Below are 17,747 nucleotides of genomic sequence, written 5' to 3' on the forward strand. Positions count from 1 at the left end.
TTTCTGAGAACCTGACAGCCATAAAAGAGAAAAAATGCTGTTTCTCTGTGCTCTTTGTAAAAAGGATCACAGCAAATGGAAACTTCAGGCTTCTTGGAAAGGCTCTAGTTCTGAAAGATTAGGGTTTACACTCTACTGTTAAACTAGACTTTCAGAGATGAGGGCTAATGCTCAACTTGGCATTGGAAATAATCTGCTTTGGCATTATGCAAAAAAAAAAAAAAGTTAGGTTCACATTGTACTGAAATAGCCACCACCTGTGGAATTTTTAGAGGCTGTTTTTGTTTTTATCATGTCAAAGCATTTCTACTCAGCTCAGACTCACCATTCCGAGCTTAGGATGAGAGGCAGCTCATGCCCCTGGACCAAATGAGTTTATCCTGGAGAAAACTCTAGTTCCAAAGCAACATGCAACTTCCTCGAGGTTTGGAAAAAGAGGCTTCCAAGTGTAGCATCTTTTTATTTTATAAAACTCCTTTCCCTGCCAAACATTTGGTCTTGCACGCATCTGAGGGTGGGGCAATGCTTAGAATGAGAGTGAGAAACACAAGATTTAGTAAAAGCGTTGCCAGATACTCTGCTTTTGAAATGTTGCTTAAAATAAAAAAACACTTTTCTCCTTACTCTTTGATATGAATAATGAAAATATCTTTCTTTTTTGCCCTGGAAAGTATGTTAAAAAAAAAAAAAAAAGGCAGTGTTTTGTTTGTTTCTTTCTTTTAAGGACCACAGGCAACTCTTCCATTTGACTCATTTGGCTATTTTTGATTATTGGCCCCCGACACGTGGAACATTGTTCAGATCAGTCCTAGAGGGCCCAGAATGGCCAGCTCTCTCAGTATCTCATTTTTGGCAATTCAAAGCGCAATTTCCCATTAACCCCGATTGCCTCCTTCACACCCCTGGAAGACATGCACTTCTCTCCTACTAGGTGAGCCCACAGCACTCCTAAAGACTGCGCAGCCTGGAATCGACCCCAGGCCCACTTTCCCAGGTTTATTTTGCGAGCACAGTGGGTCAGTCTGGCAAGTGACCGTGAACTGCCAGAGCAGTGGCAGGTGTCCTTCCCAGCAGAGAGCTGTCGAGGTGCACAATGTGGGAAATATGCTAATCCAAGGGGTTGGGATGGGAGCCCCAGGCTTTGTTACCTCTCAGTTGAGAGGCCTCAGTGAGCTTTTGACAAGATGGAGCTATTGTCCTCCTGGGCCTCCAACAGGATGATTCAGAGGAGAACCACAGTGTAGATCAAAGGATGGAACAACAGGACCTGGGAGCAAAGGCTAAATAGCCCTGGTATTATTTTGCCTGGAGAAGAGAAGGCTGGAGGTGGGGTGGGTCAAGTAGGCCATAATGGTGAAAAAGCTATTATGTCGTGAATGTGACCAGCTGTCCGACATTTTGAGTGAGAAGAAAAGGCGTAGGAGAAAATGAATGTAAACTGCAATGTGAGAAATTTGGTTGACATAAGGAAAACATTTCAAACAGGGAGCGTTGTTAGACGCTAAAGTTAGTGACAGAGGGAATACGTTTCTTAGATGAACTTTAAAGCTGTGATTTTTCAGTCAAGAGGTTTGAAGGCAAACTTGCTCGGATGTAGGGAGTCAATAGGAAAAAATGTTGAGACCCACTTCACTTAAATATGTGCAACATATGATTTAAGCCTTTGCAAACTGCTCTTTACAACGGATATTTTCTCAGAGGCTAGCATCAGAAGCTGCTACACAGGACTTCTTTGACCTTGCTTTAATGATTTACTTAGCTGAGACAGGAATTGTCTTTGTGGCTAAGTGATTGACAAGTACCTTGGGTGATGGGCATTCTGATTCCAGTTCTGCAGCTAAACAACTCTGAGACTTCCAACAAGCACAGAACCTCAATTTCCTTAACTGTCAAACAGAGACAATAGCTCTGTTCTACCTCATAGGATGGCTTGGAGGAACAAATTATAAAAGGAATAAAAAGCACACTGTACCCAAGTATGTAGTAATTAGACTGTTCAGACCTCAGGGCTACTCCCAAATACAAAAGTGCTTGGCTCTCTTAGCATTGTTTTAAAAAGTTACTCCCCAACCAGACTAGGAGTGAGAAAAGAGAAGGATCAGGGGACAAACGGAGGATTCAAGAACAGAGTTCAAGATGGTATGGGGGCTGTTATTTTATTCTTGCCTCTCCCAGGTCTACAGCCCAACATCAAGCAAAACTGGGTGGTATATACCAGTGCAAGGCAAACACCCAGTTCTTTGATTAAACTGTGACCTCTGCAGTTTGGGTCATTTCAATTGGAAACGTTTCTCCATGAAATCTTCAAATAACAGAACTAGAAAACTCCATTGCCGTTAGTGTTTCTAATAGGTCAGTCTTAAAGAACTTTTGAAATAAACAAATAAATAAACCTCAGTGTTTCAACACAGTGATAAAGTGATGGAATTTTTTACCCTTAGTGTGGGTTCAGACCGAGGGCATATTGAGTCACAATGAAAGAAAAAAAGCCTTCTACAGAGAAAATTCTTTTAAAAATGAAGGCAAACTCAAAAGACCTTTTCAGATAAAGGCTGAGAGGTTGTGTCCCAAGCAGATTTGCACTACAAGACATGTAAAGGAGGCTGTTTAGAGCACGCCTGCTTCTTAAGGTTGTAGTCAGTTGGAACTCTGTTCTTCTGTCCCTAATGCTTCTGTGCTGCTGCAATCAGAGACGGAACCCTCAACTGTGGCAGTCATGCCACTCTAGAATGTTCAAGGTAAAAAGGACCATGTGAGCACATTTTACCAAATTCCTTTATTTTCCAAATAAGAAATAGATGGTCCAAGAAATAGAAACAAAGAGTAATGGAATTAGTAGGGAGACAATATTGGAATTTGTCCCCAAATCTTGTGGTTGCCCAGTGATATGATTTATCCCACTGGAAAGGCCACAGACTGATCTCTAATGGGGTAAATATGGTTCACAGGCATATTTCATTTGGCCCACAAAGTGGATTTTTTAAAATAATTTTAAATTTGTTATCTTGAAAAACTAGAAGACATGGTTAGGTGAGCCATGTACCTACATGGAACATAATTATAAGTACATGAGCCTACAGCTGGAGTTCCAATGTTTCCTTCCCTTTTTAGATGAAAAGTACTCTTTTGTTTGCCACATTCATTACCACTCCCTAACGTCTCCCTGATGATGAAGCCATAGGTGATTTAGAACGTATCTCCATACTCACACAGATGCTCTCTTAACCATCCATTTCACTCATTTGTATGATTTTCCTGGGCTATTTACACATTTAATTTTGCAAACCCTTCCCTACCACATGCTGCTTCTATTTTCCTACTCAGCAAAATCATTCACAATTATTCCTGCAAAGAACAAAGAAACAAAAAAACATAATGACCACATGCATATATGACATACCTCTGATCCTGTAGTGATAATGTGTATAGCCCTGGAGACATACACGCATTCACAAAGCAGTTCAAGAGACTGGTTTATTTTACTCACTTTTGCATAAGACTCTAAACATTGCTGAAGACCCACTTTTGTATTCCAGTATTCTGAAGGAAAGTGATGACCATGTTGACATTTCTGTCCATTTCTGCTGAGTAAAAGGGGGCCTCCCCTCATACTCTCTACTGTGTTTTCTAATATCTTTTAGGGAAGATGGGGTAAGAGAATCTATTAGTTTTAAGACACTATTAAAAAGATAGACACATTTGTCCACCCAAAAATGTGTACATGAATTTTATAGTAGCATTATTTATAATAGCCAAAATGTAGAAACCTAGATTTCCATCAATGATAAAAGAAGTATTCTATACTTGTACAATGGGGTATTATTTGGCAATTAAAAAATGAAGCACTGATGTATACTACAGCATGGAGAAATCCTGAAAATATTATGGTAAGTGAAAGAAACGAGTTGCAAGCCACTACATATTGTACAATCCATTTATACGAAATGTCCAGAATAGGCAAATTCCAAACAGCCAGATTATTGCCAGCTAGGCTAGGGCTGGGACATTGGGAGGACATGAGAAATAACTGATACTGGTTATGAGGTTTCTTTTTTCAGTGATGAAAACAACCTAAACTGGATTGTGGTGATGGGTGCACAACTCTGAGAATAGTACACTTTAATGGGTGGAAAGTATGTATGTAAATTATATCTCAATAAAAATGTTACTTCAAAAAGATAAAATAGGATAAGGCTTTTGAAATCAGGAAAAGGGAAATAATATTTTTGGGTGAGCTGCTACGGGCCAGGTAGAGTCTGATGTGTTTTTTTATATATTTTATTCAAGCCTCACAGCAAACCGCCAGGAGGTTTTATTCTGTCCATTTCACAGATGAAGAAATAAAGGCTCACAGAGATTAGGCTGCCTTACCTCGTCACTTGCGAAGCTGAGTTCTGAACCAGATTTGACTCTCAAACAGCCTGCCTCGCCCCACTGCTGCTCAGCAGTCACGCAGCGTTTTCTCCTTCTCTAAAGACAAGGAACTAATAGAGACTTGCCTCCACTGGTTCTTATTGCCTCATGTGACTATTTAATGATGAGCAGGATACCAACTCTTCTTTCCTAAAGAGCTACCCTGAGCCATGCCAGCTGACTAAACAGTCTTTCTAAAGTCAAATGGGGCCTTTTTTTCTCAAGGTGACATGAGTGCTTTTCTAAATGCAGAGCTAGACTCGCCTAAAACAATTCTCTGTCTGCTGTCTGTTGGCATTTTCTCATTTACCCAATATCCTCCTTGAACTCACCTCTGCTTGCTCCCTCATTCCACATTACAGCTAAAAACATTGTCTAATGCAGTTTTCCCTCCCTACCCCACCCCTGCCTATATAAAGCAGCATCCAGGTAGCAGTGAACATGTTTACGCCTCCTAATTCTTTTGTTACACATGTCTCTAATCATTAACATCGAATAGTGCTTACAAATTAATTCATATGTACAAATTCCTCACCTGAGCATTCAAAATGCATGAATCAGCATCCAGCCCCAATCACTTTAAGAGGTTACATTAAAGCACAGATCATTAGGGAGCATGGATAAGGTGAGGAGAAGGGAGAGAGATTCAAATAGAATTCATGTTCCTTGCCTTAAATGAGGATCAGTCTGAGCTATATACAAGTGGGCAGCCAGCAGAGAGCGTCTGGGATACAAGCCATCTCCAAGCCACAGGCACAGCCTGCGTTTACTCACATCACAATCCATTATCTTCCCAGCCAGGATCCAAATCTTACCTCTACTGAAGCAAGAGCCAACCAGTGACCTCAGCTGGGTCATCAGGACCACTGTAGCCACTTCCAGCCTCAGCTCTCTGATCTGACAGCCTCAGTCAGCCCTTACTTTCCTCTTTCTGAACAGGGCCAGTGTGCTTCCTCCTGTCTGTCAATATTTAACTACGCTGTCAAGTCACATTACATCACCTGCACTAAATCCCACCCAGTGATAGCTAGAGGGTGTGCCTGCTCTATTCAATTCAACTCAGCTAACCTTTATCTAGTGCCTTCCACTCATTCATTTCTTTCCACATGTACTCAGCACCTACTGCATTTGGCATTGGGGATAGAGAACTGAAAGATCCACTCCCCAGATTCTAGTGGAGGAAACAGACAAAATAATGTGGTATGTGCTATTGTGCTAGAGCACAGAGTGCAGGGGACACTCCCATTCCAGGCTGGCTGGGGAGGTATGGAGCAAACAAAGCCAGAGAATTCCCAAAGATGGCAACACTTAGAGTGACATCTCTAATGGACCAGGCTATATCAGGAAGACAAAAGGATGATGCATACATGGCCTCTGTCCTCAAGGAGCTTACTCCCAGCACAGGTTGCTCTATGTTCCTACAGATGAACAGGATTGCTTACATAAATGCCACGGCAAAGTGCAGAATATTAAATCAAAGAGGGCAGCCCTTTCTTGTTGTTGTTGTTTTTTTGTTTTTTGGTAAGTTGTGTCCTGAACAAAGATGTCTCAACAGTGAAAGCTGGCTGTATCCTATAGATCCCTTGGTGCTACAAATCGAGGGGGATTCTTCCAAGAGCCGAGAGAGCAGATAAACCCAGTGAATAAAGGAAGTGTCTGTGACCCATTTTCAGGACCAAGAAAAGAAGAATTCAGGTCACAGAGTAACATTTTTCTCTGGTCAAAGGAATTAATCTGGTACAAACAGGCTTGGCCAAAGGTAAACAGGGATCTCTCACATGCCCTCCTAATCTCTCTATGACTTTTCTAAGGCAACATTTCCTGACACTTAATGAAGTGTTGATGGCTCTTTTAAATAATAGAGATAGATATGCAGAACCACTTGGCATCACTAAAACTGCAGCCTTTAACTTCGTCTGTGATCAGAAGCCTCAAAAGCTATTCACTTTGGGATTTTTTTTAAGGTTGAATTTACCACCAAAGCATGGCTCTCAAATGTACCCATGCAATCCCTTTTCTACCAAAACTTACTGCAGTTTCATGCACCAGAGAACAAAGACCCCCATTTATGTGTGAACATTCAAAGGACCCCACCACCGGGAAGCCTAAGAGGCTGCCACGGAAAGTCCCGGTATATTTGAATTGCAAAACACAGCCTGGGGATCTCAATACATCTAATTTGGGACATGTTCCAAGCTCAGGAGCCTCTCTGCATGGAAGCAGCTTTATTAGTCACTTTCTCAGACAATTTTCTAGTTCCACATGCACACTTCCCCAAGTGTTTCCAAGACGAACATTTACAGTCTGTTGCAATATTTTACTACAAGGTATTTAGGGTTTTGACAAATACTAACTGACATTGCCACCATTCCAGTGAAAACTGATGACCCATAGCTAATGCCTGCTTCTTGGTTGTGGCTCAAGACCGTTTTGAGCCAGTCAGTGATTGTAAGCAGAATGACACTCCAGACCTCTCCTTCACATCCTGGAAGCACAGTTTGATTTCAGCCCATTAATACATTCGCATTGAATGTTGAATCGTCATGAAACTGAAGTGAAGTGAAGCTGCACCTCAGTCAAGCCTGTTCTTTTTTTTTAAACCAAGACTTATTCAGAACCCTTTTTGCTTACTAACATATAACACACTTGGCATTAGGAATATTATATGTTATTAATTGGGGAATTGTTACTACTAATTGCCAAATGCCCAGGGACTTCTGGATCCAATTAGAATGGATGTTTGACATTTATCTTGCAATCCCACTAGAAGGACAAGGTGCTATGTGACCTTTAGTTGGTTTTTAAAGGCAGTTTTAGTAAATTTTAGCCCACATGAAGTAAATTTTTCAAATAATATTATGCATGTCGTGACTGGTGAGATAACTATCAGCTCATGGAAAATAACTAGCAAATACAACTAACATTTCCAGAAGTAAACCATAAGAAACTTCAACTTTCAAAAGAGAATATTTAAAATGAATTCTATTTATCTCTTGTGTACTCAGCTTTACAAAATACAAGAAAGGGAAGGTTTTTGTTTGTTTGCATTTTGTTTTCAATAAGAAGTCTTAAAGAGAAGTTCTAAAGCAAGACTAATTTCTCCAAATCCAATTGAATAATATTCATCCAAGTTAGAAAGCAACTGGTATTGTGCACTCATCATGGCAGAAAAGTATAGATAGAGAACTTGAAGCCACAGTTAATTTAATGTGACCCTGGGCAAGTCAATCCCATAATTAGGGTCTAAACCTGCTCTACTGAAACTAAAGTGATGGATTGTTTAAGGTACACACCAAAACTCATAGGTGTCAGGGAGTACTGTGCCTTTTAAACCCATAGTTATAGGGTTAAGACCCTATAACTTGTCCAGGGTCACAAAAGAGTCCTTCTCAGGCTGCTGTTAATGCTCTCAATTTTCTCAGGCCTCAGAGGTTTCCCAATCAGTGTGACTGTCAGTGCCAACACCAGAAAAGTCCCTGGCCGACCAAGATGGCCACCCAACTTGCTACTACTCAGATAATGTCGGAACACCATCTTGGAAGTGATTTCATATTATATGATAAATAATTACGCATCTTGTCTGAGCCAGCAAGTTCTGATTCTTTAAAATTCAGTTGACTTTTTGAAATAGCTATCATTTGTAGCCAGGCTTAATAGATGAGTTTTCAAGGTGAGTAAAAATTGTGATGTGAAAAATAAAATGTTTTCATTAAGTATAGAGATTTGACTTTTTGTGTGGGGTTCAGAAACTAAACCCAAAACAAAAATGTAAAAACCTAGAAGGATTTTACTTGCTACTTTGCCTTGCTACTCATGGTGTGGTCTGTAGGGCTAGCAATGTAGCCTCATTAGGAACGTGTTAGAAGTAGACGAACCTGGTTGCCCTAAATCTCCTGAATCAGAATCTGCATTTCTACAAAATCCCTAGTGGTTCTGAGGCACGTGACAGTTTGAGGAGTCCTGTTTTAGAATTTGTTTAAGCCTAGGGGAAGGGCAAACCAGCCTCCATAAAAACACTTGATACAGTCATAAATAAAAAACAGTCTTGCAATTCAAAGCATTTTGACAAAAAAAATGAAAGGCATTGTTGTAATTGATGTTTTCTGGGCCTTGTGAATTTTAACTTCAGAGCTGAGAAGGCCATAAAATATAGTTAAACTCTAAATGAGGCCAATGATTAAATGGTTTTCCTACAAGGGAGCCTTGTTGGATGCCAGGGCCCACTTCAAAGAGTGGAGCAGTCAGTCTGCGGGAATTCCCCTCTATGCACAGTTAGTCACCAACCTCTGTTCCAAACATCTCCCTGGTTAGGGGATCAAACCCAGGGTGTTGCCTAGGTTTTAATGGTTTACATCTGAAACATTATCGCACAGGTGAAGAATGGGGATAGAGGGAATTTCTAACATACAGATTGAGAGGACTATTTTGACTGTGAGATTTGAGAAGTCTAATAAACACCTATGTGGAGAAGAAACTGGTATTTGAACATAGGAGTCTGAGGCAGAGCCAGTCAGAAAACAGTATGTACGTGAAACATCCTTGGAAAGTAATCAGGGGGGTAGTCAGCTTATGGATTATATCAGAAAATGAGGGAATAAAAGATTACAATTATAGGGAGAGCATTTCAGGCCTAGATAACACTGGAAACAGATGCCCTGTGGCAAAAGGGAAAAAGAGGGCAGAGCAAAAGAAAGATAAAAAGAAGTGACAAGCAAAAATTACTAGATGATAAAGTGAAATCAAAATGAATGACAATAACATATAGAGAACTGCAATAGTATGAAGGTTAAAAAGTTTTCCTTCCTAAAACAGAAGATGCATATTATTGTGGGAAATACAAAAAGAGTCTGAAACCAAATTCTAAATATTTCAAATGGGGAGTCAGAAGAGGACTGAGCACAGAGTTTGTATTTGCATGTAAATGGATATTTGGTATGCTAAACAGAAAATGCACAGTCTTCTTTTATGCTTATGGGATAAAAATTCACAGAAAATAATTATGCATGTGGCCACAAAGAAAACACTGAAAATTCCCTGAAGTGAACGAGGAAAAGGCAAAAAACACAAAAACTCTCAAGTGCCTTTAAATTAAAAAACAGTCTTCTAACCAAACCAAGGATAGAAAATGCAGGCCAGGCACGGTGGCTCATGCCTGTAATCCCAGCACTTTGGGAGGCCAAGGCGGGAGGATCACGAGGTCAGGAGTTCAAGACCAGCCTGGCCAACATGGTGAAACCCCATCTCCACTAAAAATACAAAAATTAGCTGGACGTGGTGGTGCGTGCCTGTAATCCCAGCTACTTGGGAGGCTGAGGCAGGAGAATAGCTTGAACCCAGGAGGCGGAGGTTGTGGTGAGGCGAAGTCACACCATTACACTCCAGCCTGGGCAACGGAGCCAAACTTCATCTCAAAAAAAAAAGTTCAAGTTATTTAGACATAAATACAACAATGGAGAACACCTCATATCAAAACTGTGATGCAGTAAAATCCAGAGGAAAATATATAGCCTTAAATGCTTTTATTTAAAAAAAAAAGATAGAAAATAAATGCATTACACATTCAGCCTTCTTAAAGTCTTCCAAAAAAAAAAAAAAAAAGACATAGAGGGGCTATTTCCAAATTTATTTTAAGAAGCCAGCATCATCTAATACCAAAATCAGATACAGACACTATAAGAAAACTGCAGGCTAATATCTCTGATGAACATGGATGTAATAATCCTCAACAAAGTATTAGCCAAATAATTCAACAACACATCAAAAAGATTATACCTTGTGACCAAGCAGGATTTATCCCAGGGATGCAAAAATGGTTCTAACGATCATACCTTATTCAAGTATGGAAATTCAAATAAAGTATGATCTTTAGTTAATAAGAGTGTATCATTAATTGTGACCAGTGTACCATACTAATGTAAGATGTTAATAATAGGAGAAACTAGATGAGAGGTATATGGGAACTCTGTACTATCTTTCCATTTTTTTTCTGTAAATCTCAAGCTGTTCTAAAACCACACAAAAGTCTATTTTAAATTTTTAAAATAAGTAGATAATTTCTGATGGTGATATACAGAACATAAAGTAGTGTAATGCAGTACAATGTTCTGGGATTGGGAGGGTAGCCAGGAAAGGCGGTCAGCAAATTTTCCCTGCAGCATTTGAGCTGAGAGTTTTTCATAATGCAGTAGGGAGAGCCATGCAAAAATCTCAGGGAAGATATTCTAGCACAGGCACAACATCAAAACACAAAAGCAACAAAGAATCAATTAAACTGAAAGCTGGTTATTTGAAAAGACAAATAAAACAGGTAACTCTCTGTCATTCTGATTAAGGAGCAAACATAAAAGCATACAACATAAAGACTAAGATAACAGACATAAATGAGTAGGAAGACAATTTGAAAAATGATAAGACTATGTGAGTGACACTGCATTTGAAAATGGGTATTTTTTAAGCAAAACATTAATGACTGAAATTAATACAAGAAGTATGAGACAGAAGTACACAAAAGAAGGTAAGGTAATAAAACTGTCACTAAAATGTTATAGTTTTAAAATAGGCAAATATAGCATGACAGTCTGATTTTATTTAAATTTTAAGAAATAGATAATTCCCATATAATTTAATTTGTCCCAGAAAAGAGCAAAATATAAACATTTTCATAATTAACTTTACTGAGCCAGCAGATCCTTAGCACAGATAAAGAAACTCTGATAAAACTAGCACAGAAAAAGAAATTCTAATTTCAGTTGTAAAATTAAATAGAAACATTTTAAATAGAATGTTAGCAAATTGTATTCAGCCTTGTAAGAAAATCACAATGCAATGTGAGAAAATCACATATGATATGACCGAGCACAGTTTATTTTAGTGATATAAAAATATGTTAGCATTAAAAAATCTATCAATTAAATTTCTTATATTAATACATCAAGATCACTGGAAATAAGATACATATAAAAGGTTATCATGCTTATTTATACTATATAGTAACAGAAAAGAAAATTAAAAGCAAAATCCTGAAATTCTGATGCATCTAGGAATAAATTTTACCCAGATAGTTCAAAGAAGACCTATATGAGGAAAATGTTTAAAACTTGCATATGAATTAACAGTAGAAATAAATGTATATTTGGATACAGGTATTATCATAAAAGTGATGATTGTTCCCAAAGTAATACATAAGTGATATAATTCTAATAAGAATTACAACAGGATTATTTTTGAAAGAACGGGCACTAGGCAAAAGTCACTCTACAGTTCATGTGGAAGAATAACTATTCAAGAATATTCACAAACCTTTAAGGAAGCTTTGTCCTACAAGATATTAAAACACACTTTGAAATACTATCACCAAAACAGTAGCTAATTGCTACTAGTGCAGGGAAAATAAATCACTGGCACAGAATAAGAAGTCTAGAACCATGTCCAGAAACAGTGCCAGAAACTTAATTATGATAATATTAATAAAATTTTGATAAAACTAATATTTCAGATGAGTAAGAAAATCATGTTAATCAGTAAGTTACATTATTCGGTAAATTATATGAGGGTATTTGCTTTGTAGGTGGAAGAACATTTCATTAGAACCCTATTTTACACAATGTGCAAAACCCATTCTTGAGGGATTTAAGTTAGAAGTGCAAAACAAAACCCTGAAAAGCAAGAGCATTGTGAAACAATATATTAAATTACTTTTATAAACTCGGAGTAAAAGAGATAAGATATTCAACTCAGAAGCCATAAAGGGAAAAATAGACATAATTTACATAACTCATCACGTGTTTACACAAAGATACTATGAACCAAGCTAAAACACCCAAAATATTTCCAATTTGCACTAGAAACAGACTCCGGTAGAAAAATGGGCAAAGAATACAAACACACAATTTATAAAAGACTGCAACTGGACAATACGTATTTGAAAATATAGGCTACTATAGTCAGTCAACTACAAATTGAACAATATTTTACCTATTAGATTGACCAAAATTATAAATACTAATAGTATCTAAATGTTATTAAAAGTGTTGGGAACTAGGCAGTTGAATACACTGTTGGAGAAAGAATGAAGTTCCTATAATTTTTTTAGAAATTAATTTGGCAATATTAATTTAAAATGTACATATGATTGGACCAGCAGTCACTTTTAGGAATCTCTCCTGTGAAAATAAATGCAAGACCACATAGGATTTATGCCCTCTGCGGGACGGTTATAACAGCACAACACTGGAAAGATTCTGAATAACCACCAGTGGGTGGACAGTTGCAGAAATTATGCCATGTGGAATATTATACAGGAGTTACAAAGGGTAAGGCCATTCTAAATACAGTGCCTCAGAAGAAGGTTCATGATAAGATGTTATGTTAAAAAAGCAAGTAAAAACAACAGTATTAGATGATTTTGCTTTGCTTTGTTTTAATTTGGAGCTACTTTTTTTTAATTTCCATTTTTATTTTGGATTCATGCAGTACATGTGCAGGTTTGTCACAAGGGTATATTGTGTGGTGCTGAGGTTTGAGATTCTAATGATCCTATCACCCCAATAGTGAATATAGTAACCAATAAAAAGTTTTACAGTCCTTCCCCCTCTTCATCCCTCCATTTTTAGTCCTTGCCTCCCTCCCTCCTTCAAGGTCTACTGTTCCCAGCTGTATGTCTGTGTGCCCCCCAGATTTAGCTTCAACTTATAAATGAAAATATGCACTATTTGTTTTCTTTTTCTGTGTTAGTTCACTTAGGATAATGGACTCCAGTTGCATCCATGTTGCTACAAGGGACATAATTTTATTTTTTATGGCTGCATAGTATTCCACGGTGTTTATGTACCACATTTTATTTACCCAATCCACCGTTGATGGGCACCTAGGTTGATTCCATGTCTTAGCTACTGTGAATAGTGCTATGATGAACACATGGCAATACAGTGCATGTATCTTTTTGGTAGAACGATTTCTTTTCCTTTAGGTATATACCCAATAATGGGATTGCTGGGTCAAATGGCAATTGTATTTTTAGTTCTTTCAGAACTCTCCAAACTGCTTTCCACAGGGGCTGAACTAATTTGCATTCCCACTAACAGTGTATAAGTGTTCCCTTTTTCTCCACAACCTCACCAATATCTGTTATTTTTTAACTTTTTAATAATAGCTATTTTGACTGATGTGAGATGGTATCTCATTGTGGTTTTGATTTCCATCTCTCTGACTAGTGATGTTGAGTATTGTTTCATATGTTTGTCGGCTGCTTCTATGTCTTGTTTTGAGAAATAACTGTTCATGTCCTTTGCTCTTCTTGATTTTTTAATTTTTGTGGGTACATAGTAGGTATATACAATTATCTTTGCCCACTTTTTAATAAATTTGTTTTTTCTTGTTGACTCATTTAAGTTTCTTGTAGATTCTGAATATTAGTCCTTTCTTGGATGCATAGTTTGCAAATATTTTCTCCCAATGTGTAGTTTGTCTGTTTACTCTGTTGAGAGTTTCTTTTGCTGTACAGAAGCTCTTTAGTTTAATTAAGTCTCATTTGTCTCCTTTGGTTTTGTTGCTTTTGTTTTTGGAGTCTTCATCATAAATTCTTTGCCTAAGCCAATGACGTGAAGAGTATTTCCTAGGTTTTCTTCTGGCATTTTTATAATTTGCGGTCATACGTTTCAGTCTTTAATCCATCTTGAGTTAATTTTTACATATGATGAGAGGTAGGGGTCCAGTTTCATTCTTCTGCATATACTTAGCCAGTTTTTCCAGCACCATTTATTGAATAGGGAGTCCTTTCCCCATTGCTTATTATTGTTGACTGTTGAAGATGAGTTAGTCATGAGTGTAGAGCTTTATTTCAGTGTTCTCTATTCTGTTCCATTGGTCTATATGTCTATTTTTGTACCAGCACCAACTGTGTATGTGCATGGTTGTTGATACATGAATAAAAAATCTCCCAAATGGGTATAATCTGAGAGTTATCACTGGGTCCTTAAGGTGGATTAAATAGTGGGGGTGGGGGTGGAGAGGGAGAAGGAAGGAGGAGTGAGGGAAGCCTATTCTTCCTTTCTACAGGTCTGAAATTGTTAAATTGATATCATCAGGAAGCCAAAATTTTGACCTTATAAATCATATACTAGGAGAAAGGGGGAAAAAGAAAGAGAAAGAAAAAGAAAGACAGAGAGAGAGACAGAGAGTTTTCTAGCTACACAATGTTTTCATTTTTCATGGAAATAAAGCTTCATTTCATTTCTAGGGTCATTTTTCCAAAGTTCAAGGAAATATAACATGAATTCAGGTTTCCAGTTCCAGACCATGTGCTGATGAGACAGATAGGAAACTAGCACTGCATTTAAAAATACTTCAGAATATTGAATAATAATTCCCCTGAAAGCAAATACCCACAGAATGCTGCTTTCCTGCCAGGTTGGTCAGTCATACTCTCCATGTTTTATATATTTAAACTGGCCATTTCAAGTTGTCTTCAGATGTGTAACCTACTTCCTGTACAGAATTAATTACTGTATGTTGATACAACATTTTAATCACCACCCACTCTGGACTTTTAGAGGTAGAAGAGGAGAGAGGTGTAGACAACCGTTTCCAAGGTATACAGCTTGGAGGCCCTGAAGGCTTTTTCTTTGATGTGAACTTTCTGTTTCACTGACTCATTCTTGGAGAAAACATTCCGAAGTTGTCGAAGAGGGCAGCTGGGATCTCTGCAGCTGTAAGCATGAATATGTAGCTTTACGATGCTTGCACAGATACTGAGGCACAAAGAACCAGGATAATCTGCTTGAGGAGTGGCCTTTTTGATGGCAGAACAAGGTTTTTGTTTATTTGTAGGAGGCATATTTTATTTGTAGCAATCATACCTATACTTCAGAAGCAAATCCTTCTTCATAATACCATCATCAAAGATGGGCAAAGCAATGATGCTGATAAAGAAGTAAGGAAAAACACAACTTCTTTTATCACTAAAATAAGAAACAAACAATAAGTTTTACTTGGATTGAGGAAAGGAATCAAATCCATTTACATGAGTATAAAGGTTCAAGAACTGAAGGGTGGTTACTGATTTATAACTTTGTAAAATTGCCCATGGAAGAGAGGGTCCCATTTAGAAGAAATAAATTTGTTTCTCTCTGAAATAGACACATTCACCAAACACATGGATCCGATAAATACCAAATCATGGAATTGATCATTATATCATTCCTTAACCTTTGCTTCAACAGCCACAAATCAGGTCAATAATCACCTAGCCTAGTGTTGTCCTTTGTCACAGCAAGAGCACATTAAACTTTGAAGAGGAAACATCATAGAGTTTACAATAGAACTGCAGGACTCATACTACCAAATTATCTGTATCATGCAACCAACTTAGCATCATTATAGTTTCATGAGATAAAATAAAAATTGCTCATTCATTATTAATAATCTGTTTCCAGCACACAGAATTAAAAAACAAATACCTGAGAAAAGCAGAAATGCTGATACCCTAAACATTTATTTAAGTCAAAAAGACTCAGTTGAGTTTAAAATATTGCATTTCCCGTCTCCTGGTAGCACGGATCACTGAAGTGCTTTGAGAACCCCTTCCTTCCTCCATGCCACCCAAATGCTCCCAGTGCCTGTTGTTGCTATTAAGCCAGAGATAAACTCAACATCAGGGTTATCTATCCTGAGCACTGATGGACTCGGCTCCAAATACAAGCCTGTCAAGTAGCTTGTTTACAGCAAGTCTTTTAAATAATGAAACTGTTCCCTCTAAATACCTGGCCGTCAGGGTAGCATGCTCATTTCACTACTCTAATACTCCTGCAAGACTATGAGCTCCATGGGCTCCACAGGAAATGATAATGATTTTGCTCATCAATATAGTCTTAGAACCCGACACAGTGCCTGGCATATAGAAGACAATCATAACTATTCATGGTGAATGGATTATATGTTAAGAATTTCTCCACTTTATGCATCTGCACAATATCCTATGAAATGGGGATATTATTGTTCTTTTATTTCTACATTTCTGGGGATTCAAGTTGCTTCTTTTGTAGTATTTTAAACACTGCTGTGATGAATATCTTTATTTTTGTGATCTCTCCATATGTTAGATTCCCAAAAGGAGAATTAATGGGTCAAAGAATCAGAACATTTTTATAGCTCTTGACATATAATGCAAAATGACTTCTGGAAAGGATGGAAAACAGCATAGCACCAGCAAAACACAGAAAACAGTTTTGACCACTTTCCCAGGCATACCAGCTATTAGCTTTTTAAAAGAGATGATAACTAAAGGGAACAATGAAATATTACCTAAATATCTGTTATAAATTTGTATGACTTTAATGTGGTAAATTGGACATTTTCTCTGTTTATTTAACTAGTTAGATTTTCTGTTTTGCATATCAACCAAGGAATGATTTGATGTGGCTTCTGCTGTGTGAATGGGAAACCTTTCATAGATACTTGGAGAAACTTTGACACTACAACTTCTCTGCCAATTTGATACCTTTTACTTTGAATATTCCTCAAGAGAATGACAGGAACTTTGAAAACTGGAGTTTAGGTGATACTTCCACTGTTCCAGGGATCTCTTTATTCTATGTATGAATTCCAAGAGACCAGGAGCCTCTTAGATAGATTACTTACATGTGTGTTGATAAATATCTTCAGAGGTTTTCACATGGGAAGAATTAGTGAGTTATTTTGCAGAGTTGGGCCAGTTTTACAGGCCAATAAATAATGAGCTAAATAAATCACAGTCAGGGACCAGCCTACACAGAGAAATTGTATACCTACAAAAGTTTTAGCAGTAATGAAATTGAAAGCTGTCACCAAATCCTGTTATCTGTCTGGATAGAAAAGTGCTCAACAAAAACACTGATAGCGTAGGAGATAGAGAATTGAATTAAGGCCAAAGAAACCTTTCAGTGAATGGCAGATTGAAGACAATAACTGAGTAATAGAATAAAACTTTCTCAGGAACCCAAGTCTTAATAAATTGCTCTGTAAGTACTTTGGGACTACAGATCTATCTAACTTCTTTAAGTTCCCAGGGCTCAAGGACGTTTGGTTTTGGGAGGAGGCACCTTTAGGATGTACAGGAAACCTGGGCAACTCATAATAGGGCCCAAGGTGGAATCCAGTTCGTGTAGTCCAGTTAAGTTTGGTATTATTGTGTAAATACTTATACATGATTTCCAGAACAAAGCATTCTCTCATTGTTCCAGACACTCATTGCTTAAATACTTGGAATCAAAAAAAAATTCTAAGAATGCTTATAAAAATATTCTAGAATAAGTATTTAAAAATTCTCAAGGATAATCCAAGATATGTTTAGTGAGCCC

General features: G+C 37.7%; 1 protein-coding gene across 17 annotated transcripts in view; it reads right to left on the bottom strand.

Annotated features, from left to right (window-relative positions):
- NCKAP5 (NCK associated protein 5) overlaps positions 1-17,747 on the bottom strand; it is a 1,003,049-nt gene that overhangs the window by 744,659 nt on the left and 240,643 nt on the right. Inside the window, exon 1 of one of the 17 annotated variants that reach the window (XM_011511102.3) lies at positions 5,229-5,356. The exons of the other annotated variants lie outside the window; for them this stretch is intronic. The gene's annotated coding sequence lies outside the window, so the exon portion shown is untranslated. Of the gene's footprint in view, positions 1-5,228; positions 5,357-17,747 lie in introns of those variants that run through there. 17 annotated transcript variants of the gene reach the window in all.

Source organism: Homo sapiens, chromosome 2 (assembly GCF_000001405.40).
Source record: "Homo sapiens chromosome 2, GRCh38.p14 Primary Assembly".
NCBI classification, from domain to species: domain Eukaryota; kingdom Metazoa; phylum Chordata; class Mammalia; order Primates; family Hominidae; genus Homo; species Homo sapiens.